Raw genomic sequence first — 16,277 nt, forward strand, 5'->3', positions numbered from 1 at the left:
CTTATTTCACTTAGAGTAATGACTTCAAGTTCCACCTATGTTGTTGCAAATAACAGGATCTCATTATTTTTTATTGCTGAATAGCACTCCCTAGTGTATGATTACCACATTTTCTTTATCCATTCATCTTTGGACATTTGGGTTGCTTTCCAAATGTTAGCTATTGTAAACAGTGCTGCAACAAACACAGGAATGGAGATATCTCTTCAATATACTAGTTTCTTTTTCTGGTATACATACCCAGCAGTGGGATTGCTGGATCATATGGTGGCTCTATTTCTAGCTTTTTGAGGAACCCACAAAATGTTCTCCATAGTTGTACTAATTTACATTCCCACTTACAATATACAAGGGTTCCCTTTTCTCCATATCCTTGCTAGCATTTGTTATAGACTGTCTTTTGAATATAAGCCATTTTAACTGGGGTGAGATGATATTTCATTGTACTTTTGATTTGCATTTCTCTGATCATCAATGATATTGTGCACCTTTTCCTATTCCTATTTGTATGTCTTCTTTTGAGAAATGTCTATTCAAATCTTTTGCCCATTTTTGATGAGATTATTAGATCTTTTCCTACAGGGTTGTTTGAGCTCTTTATATATTCTGGTTATTAATCCCTTGTCAGATGGATAATTTGCAAATATATTCACCCGTTCTGCGAGTTTTCTCTACATTTTCTTGAGTTTATCCTTTGGTATGCAGAAGCTTTTTAACTTGATTTGATCCTATTTGTCCATCTTTGCTATGGTTACCTGTGCTTGTGGGATATGACTCAAGAAATCTTTGCCATGACCAATGTAATGGAGAGTTTTTCGATGTTTTCTTGTAGTTTCATAGTTTGAGGTCTTAGATTTAAGTTTTTAATTCATTTTGATTTTATTTTTGCATGCGGTGAGAGACAGGTATCTTTTTTCATTCTTCTGCATATGGATATCCAGTTTTCCCTGAACCATTTATTGAAGAGACCATCTTTTCTCCAGTGTATGTTCTTGGCACCTTTGTTGAAAATGAGTTCATTGTAGGTGTGTGGATTTGTTTCTGGGTTTTCTATTCTGTTTTACTGGTCTATGTGTCTGTTTTATGCAGGTACCATGCTGTTCCGTTGCTATTGCTCTGTAGTGTGGTTTGAAGTCAGGTAATGTGATTCTGCCAGTTTTGTTCTTCTTGCTTGGGATAGCTTTCACTATTCTGGGTCTTTTGTGGTTCCATATAAATTTTAGAATTGATTTTTCTATTTCTCTGAGGAGTGCATTGGTACTTTGAGAGGGATTGTAACTAACTGTAGATTGTTTTGTGCAGTATGGATATTTTAACAATACTGATTCTTCTAATCCATGAACATGGAATATTTTCCCATTTTTCCTGTCAACTTCAATTTATTTCATCAATTTCTGATAGTTTTTATTGAGGACATCTTTCATTTCTTTGGTTTAATTAAGTCCTAGGTATTTAATTTTATTTGTTGTTATTATGAATGGAATTACTTTATTTCCTTTCACATTGCTCACTGTTGGCATATAGAAATGCTATTGGTTTTTGTATGTTGATCTCGTATCTGGCTACTTTACTGAATTTGTTTATCAGTCCTAATAGTTGTTTGGAGGAGTCTGCAGGTTTTTTCAAATATAAGATGATATCATCTGCAAACAAGGATAATTTGACTTCTTTTCCAACTTGAATGCCCCTTATTTCTTTCTCTTGTCTTATTCCTCTAGCTAGGACTTCCAGTACTATGTTGAAAAACAGTGGTGAAAGTGGGCGTGCTTGTCATGTTCCAGATATTAGAGGAAAGGCTTTCAGTTTTTCCCCATTCAGTGTGATATTAGCTGTTTGGCTGTCATGCATGGCTGGAGATAATTACGTAAGTAAAATAATCCAGACCAAAAAAAGGCAACATTGCATGTTCTTACTTATTTGTGTGATCTACAAATCAAACGAATTGCATTCATGGACATAGAGAGTAGAAGTCTGGTTACTAGAGGCTGGGAAGAATAGTAGGGTCTGGGGCAGGAGTTGGGGATAGTTATCGAGTACAAAAAATAGTTAGAATAAATAAGACCTATGATCTGATGGCACAATAGGGTGAGTATAGTCAATAACAATTCCACATTTTAAAATAACTTTAAGAGTATAATTGAATTGTTTGTAAATCAAAGCATAAATTCTTGAGGGGATTGCTACCTTACTGTCCATCATTTGCTTATTTCACATTGCATGCCTGTATCAGAACATGCTATGAACCCCACAAATATATACACCTACTATGTACCCAGAAATAAAAACTAAAGAATATTGTTAATATGTCCATACTATACAAAGCGATCCACAGATACAATGCCATCCTTACCAAAATTCCAATGACATTTTTCATAAAAATTAAAAAATCCTAAAATTTGTATGGAAACACAAAGGCCCTGAATAGCCAATGTAATTTTGAGTAAGAAGAACAAACCCTTGGTATATCACATTTCTTAAACTACATTACAATGCTACAGTAATAAAAACAGTATTGTACTATCATAAAAATAGACACGTAGACCAATGGAACAGAAGAGATCACAGAAATAAACCCACGTATGCAAAGTCAACTAATCATTGACAAGGACACCAAGAATACATAAGGAGGAGTGAATACACTAATAATGGTGTTGTGAGAACTGAATAGCCACATGCTAAAGAATTAAAATGAACTCTTATCTTATACCACGCACAAACATCAATTCAAAATGGATTAAATACTTAAACATAAGACAAAATACCTTAAAACTGCTGCTGGAATAAAACACAGAAAAAAGTTCTTTTACATTGTTCTTGGCAATGATTTTTTTTTTTAGAACGACCCTAAAAGCACAAGCAATAAAAGTAAAAGTAAAAAGTGAGATTACGCCAAACTGCAAAGCTTCTGCACAGCAAAGGAGACAATCCACTCATTGAAAAGACAAACTGGAATAATCGCAAACCATATATCTGATAATGAGTTGATATCAAAAATATATAATGAACTTATATAACACAATAGCACAAAAAACAAACAGATTAAACAATGGGCAAAGAATCTGCAGAGACAATTTTCCAAAGGAGGCATTCAGGTGGCTAAAAAGATAAGTGAAAAGATGCTCAACATCATGAATCATGAGGGAAATGAAGACTAAAACCACAATGAGATATCATCTTATACATGCTCAGATGGCTATTATCAAAAAGACAAATGATATGTGTTGGTGAGGGTGTCAAGTGAATCATTTTACAATATTGGTGGGAATGCAAATTGGTACAGCCACTATAGAAAAGAACATGTAGATGTATCAAAAAATAAAAATAGAATTACCTATGTCCAGCAATCCCACTTCTGGGTACATATTTATTGGAAATAAAATCATTATCCTGAAGTGATATCTGCACCCCCATGTTCATTGCAGCATTATTCCTAACAGCTAAGATATGAAAACAACATTATCTAGCTAGCTAGCTAATGGAATGCAACTCAGCCATAATAAGGAAAAAAATATTGCCATTTACAACAACATGGTTGAAACTGGAGTACATTATGCTAAGTAAAAAAGCTAGACACAGAAAGACAAGTACTGTATAATCTCACTTATGATGTGGATCCTTAAACAGTTAACATCATAGAAGGTGAGAGTAAAATGGTGGTTACCAGAGTGTGAAGGTAAGGAGGAAAAAGTGGGGATGTTCGTCAAAGGGTAGAAACTTTCAGTTGTAAGATGAATAAATTCTGGAGATCTAATGTACAGCACTGTAATCACAGTTAATACTGTATTGCATACTTGAAATTCGCTAACATAGTAAATCTTAATACTCTCACCACATACACACAAAATCAGAACTATGTGAGGTTATGTGTTAGCTTGTTTTCAGTAAATGTATCACAATGTCTACATATATCAAAATATCAAGTTGTACACCTTCAATATATACAATTTTTTTGTCAATTATACCTCAAAAAGCTGAAAAAATATGAGCAAAAGGGAGCATATTACAGGAAGGTTTTCAATGTAATAGAACAGATGTAATCTCACCTTAAATAAGTATATTTTCTGTTAAAGATCCTTTGGAATGATCAAGGAAAAAATAACAACACACACACACAGACACACAAAAACGGACAAGATCATCATACCTACAAAACAGAGCTTAATTTTAAAATATAAACCATGGTGGGTGGGAGGAAGGGTAAGGGGGGGAGAGAGTGGAAGGGAAGGAGGAGAGAGAGAAACACCCCTAATGAAATGATATTGGGGTATTCTTAAGAGATAAAACATGATCTAGTTTTAATGTGACTAGCAAACAACTCCATTCTGAAAATATCCAGGAGCAACTTTCACTGCAGTTTAATATGCTATTAAGTTCTATCAATGAAGCAGGTAACATTGCTTAAAAATTAATGAGAATTGAATAATTTGTGGGAGAAGATTAGTTTTTCATTTCTCACCATATATCGTTACCTTGTATCACCTATGAGGTTGAAAAAGTGTTATGTGTATTATTAGAAAATAAATAAAATTCACTTAAAACCTCAAGAGTTACTTAGAGTACTCTCTTGCTATGGAATGCTTAATAAGTGATCTAACGAATAAAGGCATCTAATTTTCTATCCTGGGGAATAATACCTGATATTAATGTCTCTAATTATCATAATAATTTACACCCATTTGATGCTTATTTACATGATAGATGGAGTACTTGCAGCATGTGCATTAGCTTATTAATTCATTACAAGATATTTGAGCTGTGTGTTCTACTTGTAATTCTACACCTCGGCATTGTCATGAGGTATAAACAAGTCAACGTATATGAAAATACTTGGAGAAACTCAAGAGCCACAGAGAAACACATAACTATATCATCACAGTATTATTTCCATTCTTGACAAAACACATTCTTTCATACTATATTGATTTCCTATTTAGAAGACATATACCTACCTAACAGCATGTAAGTACTTTGAGTAATTCTTCTAGAATCCTTAGATTAATACCTCTATTCAACTACCAATTTGCTACATGATATGTATACTGTGATACTGTTTTGCTAGTTAAAAAAATAAAGAAAAGCATTGATGTCAAGAATCCTGGTTATCTATATATCTATCAGAATATATATGTGTACATATGTGTATATCATTGATTCCATACATACCTACTCGGTCCCTAACCTGTGCAATGTTCTAGATTTGTATAGATGTTTACGCATGAAGAAGAATGTGAAAATAGAGGGGACAGACACTTAACATTGGTTAAAACAAAGATATGGAAGCAAACATTTGTGGAGGAGGTCATTAATTTATTTTTAATATATTTTTACTTAATGTGACTAGTTAGGCTAAAAAAACACTAATTATAGCTTTTATTAGAAAATATAAATTTCTTAGGTAAGAAGGAAGCTAGGCTAATCATTTGCTTTAGGATTTTAAGCAAGTAACTGATCCTGTAAAAGCTGTGAGATTTATTCATATGCAAAAGAAGATAATACACATATTCTGCATTAAAGCTAATAATAACAATAATTAATGACAGTGGTTATACTTGTTTAATTAAGGTTTACTTATACTGACAAGAGAAACAAGTTATATAAAATTATTAAAACATAAGAATCAACTATTTCAATATTTATTAAAAAAAAAAGAAATATTTACCAATAAAGAAAAAGTCTTTATAACCTGCTATATATCCATGTGGGGGATGGGCAGACTATATATTGTAAAGTGGCTGAGTTTTCTAAATTTTATAATTTAGCTATAATCATTACTAAATACAAATACAATACTGTAGTAAATTGGAGAAAGCAAAATTACTGTTAGTTGCTACTTATATAGGGCTGAAAAAAGTAACTCTGGGATAATAAAGAGTAAGAACTGGTATCTGGTCTGCTAAACCCAGGTGATTACTGTTTTGTTGTGGGGTGGTGTTTGTTTTATTTCTGTCGAGGCATAACATACACACAGAAAAGTACACAGAGCACGTGTGTAGCTCCATGAATCTTTATAAAATGAATACACCCTAAGTGAAATTTTAAAACTAAAATTATTTAAACAGTGCGATTCAAGCATTTATAATGAGACGTTGCTGAACAAAGTTGATGTTAATTAGAAATAATCAACACATATACTCTTAATTTATAACATATCCGCACAATTCCTTACAGGAGCTCAACATTTGAAAATCAAAGCATGAATATGTAGGTCATTTAAATAAGATGATACTCCATATGTAAAAAGGAGAATATATTTACCTGATAGTAGCAAAGACAATAGGACTTAAAATAGAAAAAAAAATAAGAATTCCTATATTTGCATTGCTTTCCATGGGTCAGCCGTTGCCCTCTAGACTTTTATTTTGTCTCACTTAATCCCTACCAGAATTATTTACTACTCACGGTATATATTCGTATTCCCCATTTATCTAATGCATCAAATGTGCCGAAAATGTAAAAATGTTTTTATTATTTTTTAACCAGCATATACATATTAATACTATCAGAACATCAGAATCCAGGATCAAGTAACACATTTGGGGTTGCCAGCCCTTACCTATCATTACATTGGAGCATGGTCAGCACTCTCATTTAAATCTATGGTTAATAATCAGTATTAAGACAAATGACATCAAGGCCCATCAAAGAAGTTTTAATGTAAGTTCCCACTAAAGCAGAAATGAACAACCTTGGCCTCAAATACAAGGACTGGGAGGTGAGGCATGAAATGAGGATCCATAAGCAATCTGTTGGATGTAGTAAATATTTGGTGATATTATTTCAAGGGACCCTATAATAAAAATACTATTATCCTTAGAGACAATTCAAAATAATATAACTTAAAATAAATGGAAGCCAACAATTTAGAAATGCATGCAAAAAAGACATAGGTTAAAAAAAATAGTTTCTATGTAGTCTAAAGATAATCAAGTAGAACACACAATTGCAAAAAACAAAAACTGACGGACAACAGAAAACTTAAAAGGTAAGTTAGCAATCACTAACATTGTAAAAAATACTTTAGCAAGCATATTAAGTGAATTTAAAACTTTATAGTATAATATAAAATAAAGGATCACTGGACATATACCCATAATCATGTATTGGAAGATTCAACACTGTAAAAAATGTTCATTTGCCTGAAAATACTTTACAATTTTAGGTCAAGAATACAGGTGGATAAAAACATTTTAATTTACTACTGGTATTTGGCAAAACGTTATTGCAGGTTAGGAGCAAAGATAAGATAGTAAAATTAATCAAGCTGACCTCAAGACTAAAGTAATATGTAAAAATTCTTATACCATCACTAAGGAATAAAGGGACTTTGTCATAAGAGCAAAAATAATTTTAAAAGATGGGCCAAAGGAGCAAATTTATAAAGAATTTTTTTTTTGGTGGGGGTGGATAATTCTGTATTTGAGGGAATAAGAAAGTTAAATATTAGTTTACATGAGACACAAAATTTGAGCTGGAAGGATATACATAAAGTTTTTGAGTAGAAAAGCAATTTACTGAATAATATACATATATGTACATATATATACACACACATATATATATACACACACATATATATATACACACACACATATATATATACACACTATAACCTTGTTTTCCTAAGGTGAATAAAAGTGAAAACAAATTCCCCATGTGTCTACATAAGACTACAGTACATGAAAATGCATAGTAACAAAAAGTACATGTCTGCTTGAGCAACAGGAGAATGTGGGTACCCATATAACTGGTTGCTCCTAATGCATACCTGGAAGCGTGGCTGGAAGTACACTCAGAAGGGGAATGGTAACACAAAATTATCACTTTCTCTGTATCTATTTTAGCAATAACAATTATCTTTTCTTTTTTCTAACAAAATATTTAAGAGAGAAAATATATTAAAAAATGTGGGCTGGACGTGGCGGCTCACACCTGTAATCCCTGCACTATGGGAGGCCAAAGTGGGCAGATCACCTGAGGTTGAGACCAGCCTGGCCAACATGGAAAAACCCCATCTCTACTAATAATACAAAAAATCTGCTGGGCATGGTGGTGCACGCCTGTAATCCTAGCTACTCGGGAGGCTGAGGCAGGAGAATTGTTTGAACCTGGGTAGGCAGAGGTTGCAGTGAGCCAAGATCGCACCACTGCGCTCCAGCCTGGGTGACAGAGCATGACTCTGTCTCACAAAAAAAAAAAAAAAAAAGAAAAGAAAAGTGAAAAAAAATACTTGGGCAAGGCCTTTTTTTTGTGACATACCAAATGGTATCTAATCACACCAATTTCAAGTTCACCTCTGTGATGGTTAATACTGAGTGTCAACTTGATTAGATTAAAGATACAAAGTATTGATCCCAGGCATATCTGTGAGAGTATTGTCAAAAGAGACTAACATTTGAGTCAGTGGGCTGGGGAAGGCAGATCCACCCTTCATCTGGTGGGCACAATCTAATCAGCTGCCAGCGAATACAAAGCAGGCAGAAAAATGTGAAAATGAGAGACCGGCCTAGCCTCCCAGCCTACATCTTTCTCCCACGCTGGACGCTTCCTGCCCTCGAACATCCAACTCTAAGTTCTTCAGTTTTGGGACTCAGACTGGCTCTCCTTGCTCCTCAGCTTACAGACAGCCTATTGTGGGACCTCACTATCATGTTATGTAATACTTAATAAACTCCCCTTTATATTTATATATATCCTTCCTGTTAGTTCTGTCCCTCTAGAGAACCCTGACTAATATAACCTCACATGTATACATGAATGAATATTAACTTAATAAGAACAAAAGCAGCATACATAATTATATATTACTTATATAAGGTCAGGCGCTTCGTCTATTTACATAAGTTTTCAAATTTTCTATTAACAAAAGTCATGAAATAGTAATATTAAATAGGACTACTTTTACTACATTAACATTTTTGCAGAAATAAGGTGAAGCAGCTGATGTCACAAATACAATGAATTATAATAGACAAATTTGATGGAAAACATAGAAAATAGCTTAACATCTAAGAATTCATATTAATAACAAGATTGGCTCTATATTAATCCATTTTCACACTGCTATAAAGAACTACCTGAGACTGTGTAATTTATGAATCGAAGAGTTTTGATTGACTCACAGTTCCCCAGGCTTAACAGGAAGCCTGTCTGGGAGGCTTTAGAAAACTTACAAGCAGGGCAGAAGAAGAACAGGAATCAAGCATTTTTTCACATGGTGGGAGGAAGAGAGAGAGTGAGGGGGGCAAGTGCCACAAACTCTGATACAACCAGATCTCATGAGAACTCACTATTATGAGAACAGCAAGGGGGAAGTCTACACCCATGTTTCAATCACCTCTCACCTGGCCCCTCCCCCAACTCATGGGGATTGTAATTCTAGATGAGATTTGGGTGGGGACAAAGAGGCAAACCATATCAGGCTCCCAACTAGAGCCCAAATACTCAGCAGGAGCTGGATGTTAGAATGCTCTCTGATAATGAGTCATTACCTTTTAATATGGCTAAACATCTTTCACACAATAAAGTCCCTAAAGAATCTATGCTTGCGATGACTACACGCACAACAGTGAAAGAGCTAGCCTCAAATTGTATACCGCATAATGACCTATGCGTCAGATTTCAGACAGTATTAAACAAGACAGTGCTGTCTGACTTCTGAGACATGGCAAAAAAAATTAGCACTCATAACACAATAAATCAACATGACATTCTTTTAATATCACCATGTTCAAACATGTATTTTAATACTCTCTGTAGAAACCTAGAGAATTAGAGAAAGTTAGGTTAATGTTGAACTCCAGAAGTAACAGCTCAGGTAAATAAACAGAATCCCAGATAATCAAAAGTAGTGAGAAATTTTCAATTCTGGGATGGTAACAATAAGCAGCTTTGCAAATTCACTCTCTAGGGCATGGTCAAAAACAAGAGTGGATAGCAGAGCAAGATGATGAAATAGAAGCTTACACTCTTTGTAACCCTTCAGAAACACCAAGTTTTAACAACTATCTGCACACAAAAAAGGACTGTCATGAGAACCTGAGCAACTATGAGCAATCACAATCACAGTACCTAGTTTTTACTTCATATAATTAAAAAAAAGCATTGAAGAGGGTCAGAGAGACTGTCTTGAATCAATGATGCCCCCCTCCCCGCCCATGCCCTTGGCAGCAGCCCTGCAGTCTGGAGAGTCTGTGCATTTGGAGGAGGGACAGCGTAGTGACTGAGGGGATCTAGCATTGAAATGAGTGCTACCCTATCATAGCAGAGAGCAAAGCCGTGCAGGGCTCAGCCACTGACCACATACAGAAGCAACATTTGGACCAGACCTAGCCAGAGGGGAATTGCCCATCCCATTGGTCCAAACTCGAGTTTCTTGGCAAGCCTTGCTACTGCAGACTAAAGTGCTCTGGGGTCCTATGTACACTTGAAGGGCAGTCTAGGATGCAGGGACTGCAATTCCTGGACAACTCCTAGTGCTGGGATGGACTTAGAGCCAGAGGACTAGGACTGGGGTGGCAAGTAACTGAGGGAGACACTAGCCAGGGCAGCTAAAGCAGTGCTTACACCAATCCTCCCTCAACTCCAGGCAGTGCAACTCACAGCAGTGAAAGTGTCTCCTTCTTTCTGCTTAATGGGAGGAGGGAAAAGGGTAAAGAGAACTATGTCTTGCATCTTGGATACCAGCTCAGGCACAGTAAGATAGGGCACCAGGCAGAGTCATGAGGCCCCCATTTTAGGACCTAGCTCCCAGATGACATTTCTAAACACATTTTGGGCCAAAAAGGAATGACCCAGTACTGGCAGGATTCATCACCTGCTGACTAAAGAGCCCTTGGGCCCTACATAAGCAGCAGTGATACCTCAGGAGTATGCCATGGACAATGAGCTCTGAGATGTGCTGACTCTTAGTGTGACTCAGTATATTCCCAGCTATGGTGGCTACAGGGAAAGACTCCTTCTGTTTTAGAAAAGCAGAGGGAAAAGTAAAGGGGACTTTGTCTTTCACCTTAGGTTCCAGCTTGGCTACAGTGGTGTAGAGCAACAAGCAGGCCCTTGGGGTCCCCAGGTTGAGGCCTAAGCTCTTGGACAGCATTCCTGGACGTGCCCTGGGCCAGAAGAGAGCCCACTTCTCTGAAGGGTGAGTCTCAGACCTGGGAGAATTCACACAAACTCACTGACGAGCCCTTAGGTTTTAACTGAACATGAGAGATGGCCCAGCAGAATTCCCCCATGGGCTGGTGGTGGTGGTTCCCACAGGGACAGGTTCCTCTGCTTGTGAAAAGGGGAGAGAAGAGTAGGAAGGACTTTATACTGTGCTTTGCTTGCCAGTGTAGCTGTAGCAGAGTAGAACATCAGGCAAATTTCTAAGTTTTTGACTCTAAACCCTGGTTCCCAGACAGCATCTCTGGACCTGCCCAGGGCCTGGGAGAACTCACTGTCCTAAAGGGAAGGACACCAACATGGCTGGCTTTGCCACCTGCTGATTTGAGAGCCATAGGGCCTTGAGTAAACATAAGTCAATGGACCTTGGGCAAGATCCAGTGCTGTGCTGGATTCAGTTCTAACCCAGTGAAGTCCCAGTAGAGGGAAACACAGGAGTACTTGTGTCACTGCATCCTCAGTTCCAGGTGGCTCAGCAGAGAGAGAGAGAGAGAGAGAGAGAGAGAGAGAGAGAGAGAGAGAGACTGACTCTGTTCGGGAGAAAGAAAGGGATGATAACAAGAGTCTCTGGCTGGTTATCCAAAGAATTATTGCAGATCATATAAAAGGCCACCAAGGCTGTGTCTCTATGAGTCTGCAAAAAATACAGTAATATTGGACTTGGGATCCAATTCTCTTTGAATGTATATTTACCTGGCCCTAGAGCACATAGCTATATAAGCCAAATATTATTAGAGATAAAGAGAGAGATAGACCACAATACAAAAATAGCTGGAGACTTCAAACCAAACTTTCAGAAATGGACAGATCTCCCAAACAGAATCTCAACAAAGAAACATCAGACTTTATCTGCACTATAGAACAAATTGGCCTAGTAGATATTTACAGAACATTTCACCCAATGACTGTAGAATACACATTCATTTCCTCAACACAATGATCATTCTCAAGGACAGATCATATGTTAGGTCATAAAACAAATCTGAAAGCATTCCAGATAATTAAAACAATATCAGTCATCTTCTCTGAACACAATAGAATAAAACTAAAAATGAAAAGAGAAGTTTTTGAAGCTATACAAATACATAGAAATTAAATAATATACACCTGAATGACCAGTGAGTCAATGAAGAGCTTAAGAAAAAAAATTTAAAAATGTATATAGAGACACGACATAGCAAATCCTATGGTATTCAATGAAAACAGTAGTAAAAGGGAATTTTATAGATATAAGAGCCTATGTGAAAAAGGAACAAAAACTTTAAAGAAAAAAACTGACAATGCACCTTAAAGAATTAGAAAAGTAAGAACAAACAAAACCCAAAATCAGTTAAAAAAAGGAAATAATATCAAAGCATAAATAAATAAAATGGAAATGGAAAAATACAATATGAAAGATAAATGAAAAGTTGGTTTTTTGAAAAGTTAAACAACGTTAACAAACTTTTAACCAGACTAAGAAAACAAGAGAGAAGGTCCAAGTAAATACAATCAGACATAAAAAAAGAGCCATTGCAACTGACACTGCAGAAAGATAATTAGTGGCTACCATGAGCAACTATGTGTTAATAAATTGGAAAATCTAGAGGAAATGGATAAATTCCTAGACCCATAAAACCTACCAAGACTAAAACAGGAAGAAATCCAAAACCTGAATAGACAAATAGCAAGTAATGAAATTGAAGCCATCATAAAAAGTCTCCCAGTAAATGAAAGCCTGGGACCCAATGGCTTAACTGCTGAATTCTACCAAAGCTTTAAAGAAGAACTGATATCAATCCTACTTAATCTAGTCAAAATGATAGAAGAAAAAATATCTCTGAACTTATTCTATGAAGTCAGAATTATCCTGATAAAAAAGCCAAAGACACATTAAAAAAAAAAGAACACTACAGGCCAGTATCTTTAATAAATATTTATGCAAAGATCCTCAACAAAATACTAGCAAACCAAATTAAAAAATACATTACAAAGATCATTCATCACGACCAATTGAGATTTGTCCCAGGGATGTAAGGATGGTTCCAAAGATGCAAATCAATGTCATAGATTATATCAAGAGAATGAAGGACAAAAACCATATGACCATTCCAATTAATGTTGAAAAAGCATTTAATAAAATTCAACATCCCTTCACACACAAAAAAGTGGACATAGAAGGAATATACATCAAAATAATAAAAGCCATATATGACAGGCTCCCTATTAGTAGTACACTGAATGGGAAAATTGAAAGGCTTTCCTCTAAGACCTGGAACATGACAAACATGCCAACTTTCATGACTGTTATTCCACATAGTACTGGAAGTGGTGACTAGAGCAATGAGACAAGAGAAAGATATAATGGGCATTTAAATTGAAAGGGAAGAAGTCAAATTATCCTTGTTAGAAAGTGATATGATTTTGTATTTGGAAAAACCTAAAAACTCTAAAAGAAAAACTACTACAACTGTTAAATAAATTCAGTAAAGTTGCCAGATACAAGATCAACATACAAAAATCAGTAGCATTTCTATATGCCAACAGTGAAGAATCTGAAAAAGAAATAAGAAAGTAATCACTTTTACAATAGCCACATGAAATATGATATGCCTAGGAATTAACCCAAAAAGTGAGAGATCTTCATAATGAAAACTATAAATCACTGATAAAAGAAATTGAAGAAGACATAAAAAAAGACAAATATTCCATGTTCATGGATTAGAATAATTAATAGTGTTAAAATGTTGATACTACTGAAAGCAATCTACAGATTCAATGCAATCTATATCAAAATACCAGTGAAATTCTGCACAACAATTGAAAAACCAATTCTAAAATTTATGTGGAATCACAAAAGCCCCAGAAAGGTCAAAGCTGTCTTAAGCAAAAAGAACAAAACTGGAAAAATCATATTACCTCACTTCAAATTATACTACAGAGCTATAGTAATCAAAACTGCATGGCAGTGGCATAAAAATAGACAAATAGACCAATGGCAAATGAACAACCCAGAAACAAATCCACCCACCCTCAGTGAACTCATTTTTAACAAAGTTGCCAAGAACATACCTTGAAGAAAGAACATTGTCTTCAATAAATAGTGCTGGGAAAACTGGATCTATATGCAGAAAAATGAGGCTAGAACCAATCTCTTACCATATACAAAAATCAAATCAAAATTTATTACAGACTTAAATTTAAGATCTCAAACTATGAGTCTACTAGAAGAAAACATTGGGGAAACTCTCTAAGACATTGATCTAGGCAAAAATTTCTTAAGTCATAACTCCCAAGCATAGAAAACCAAAGAAAAAACTGGACAAGTGAGATTACATAAAGTTAGAAAGCTTCTGCACAGTGAAGAAAACATTCAACAAAGTGACGATGCAACCCTCTGAATCAGGGAAAATATTTATAAACCACCAATTTGACAAGGGATTAATAACCAGAATATATAAGGAGCTCAAACAATTCTATAGGAAAAGATCTAAATGGACAAAAGATTTAAAATTATCAAAAGTAGACATACAAATGACAAACAGGTATATGAAAAGGCACTCAAAATCACTGATCTTCAGAGAAATGCAAATCTGAGCCATAGTGAGATATCCTCTCACCTCAGTTAAAACGGCTTATATCCAAAAGGCAGTCAATAAAAATGCTGATGAGGATATGAAGAAAATGAACCCTCATATACTGTTGATAAGAATGTAAATTAATACAACCATTATGAAGAACTGTCTGGAGGGTCCTTAAAAAACTAAAAATAGAGCTACCTTATGATCTGTCAATCCTACCCCTGGGTATATGCCCCAAAGAAGGGAATATAATATATCAAAGATCTATCTGAACTCCTATGTTTGTTGTGGCACTGTTCAAAATAGTCAAGATTTGGAAGCAACCTAAATGTCTGATATAGTTTGGCCGTGTCCCCACACAAATTTCATCTTGAATTCCCATGTGTTGTGGGCGGAACCCAGTGGGAGGTAATTGAATCGTGGGGCCAAGTCTTTCCCATGCTCTTCTAATGATAGTGAATAAGTCTCATGAGATCTGATGGCTTTAAAAAAAGGAGTTCCCTACCAAGCTCTCTCTCTTTGCCTGCCGCCATTCATGTAAGATGTGACTTGCTCCTCCATGCCTTCCACCATGACTATGAGGCTTCCCCAGCCACGTGGAACTGTAGGTCAATTAAACCTCTTTCTTCTGTAAACTTTCCAGTCTCAGGTATGTCTTTTTCAGGAGTGTGAAAACAGACTAATACAGTAAATTGGCACCAGTAGAGCAGAGCATTGCTGAAAACATACCCAAAAATGTGGAAGTGACTTTGGAACTGGGTAACAGGGAGAGGTTGGAACAGTTCGGAGGGCTCAGAAGAAAGGAAAATGTGGGAAAGTTTGGAACTTCCTAGAGACTTGTTGAATGGCTTTGACAAAAATACTGATAGTCCAGGCTGAGGCGGTCTCAGAGATGAGGAACTTGTTGAGAACTGGAGCAAAGGTGACTTGTGTTATGTTTTAGCAAAGAGACTGATGGCATTTTGTCCCTGCCCTAGAGATCTGTGGAACCTTAAACTTGAAAAAGATTATTTAGGGTATCTTTCAGAAGACATTTCTAAGCAGCAAAGCATTCACGAGGTGACTTTGGTGCTGCTGGGTGCTGTTACGGGTGCTGTAAAAAGCATTCAGTTTTATAAGGGAAGCAGAGCATAAAAGTACAGAAAATTTGCAGCCTGACAATGTGATAGAAAAGAAAATCCCATTTTTCTGAGGAGAAATTCAAGCCAAGCCGGATGCAGAAATTTGCATAAGTAACAAGGGGCTGAATGTTAATCCCCAAGACAATGGGGAAAATGTCTCTAGGACATTTCAGAGATCTTCAGGGCAGTTCTTTGCCCCCTCCGCCATCACAGGCCTAGAGGTCTAGGAATAAAAAGTGGTTTTTGTGGGCCAGGTCAAGAGTCCCCATGCTATGTGCAGCCTAGGGACTTGGTGCCCTAAGTCTCAGCTGCTCCAACCATGACTAAAAGGGGCCAATATAGAGCTCAGGCTGTGGCTTGAGAGGCTGCAAGCCTCACGTCTTGGCAGCTTTCATGTGGTGTTAAGCCTGCGAGTGCACAAAAGTCAAGAATTGAG

This window comes from Homo sapiens, chromosome X (assembly GCF_000001405.40).
Source record: "Homo sapiens chromosome X, GRCh38.p14 Primary Assembly".
In the NCBI taxonomy this organism is placed as follows: Eukaryota; Metazoa; Chordata; class Mammalia; order Primates; family Hominidae; genus Homo; species Homo sapiens.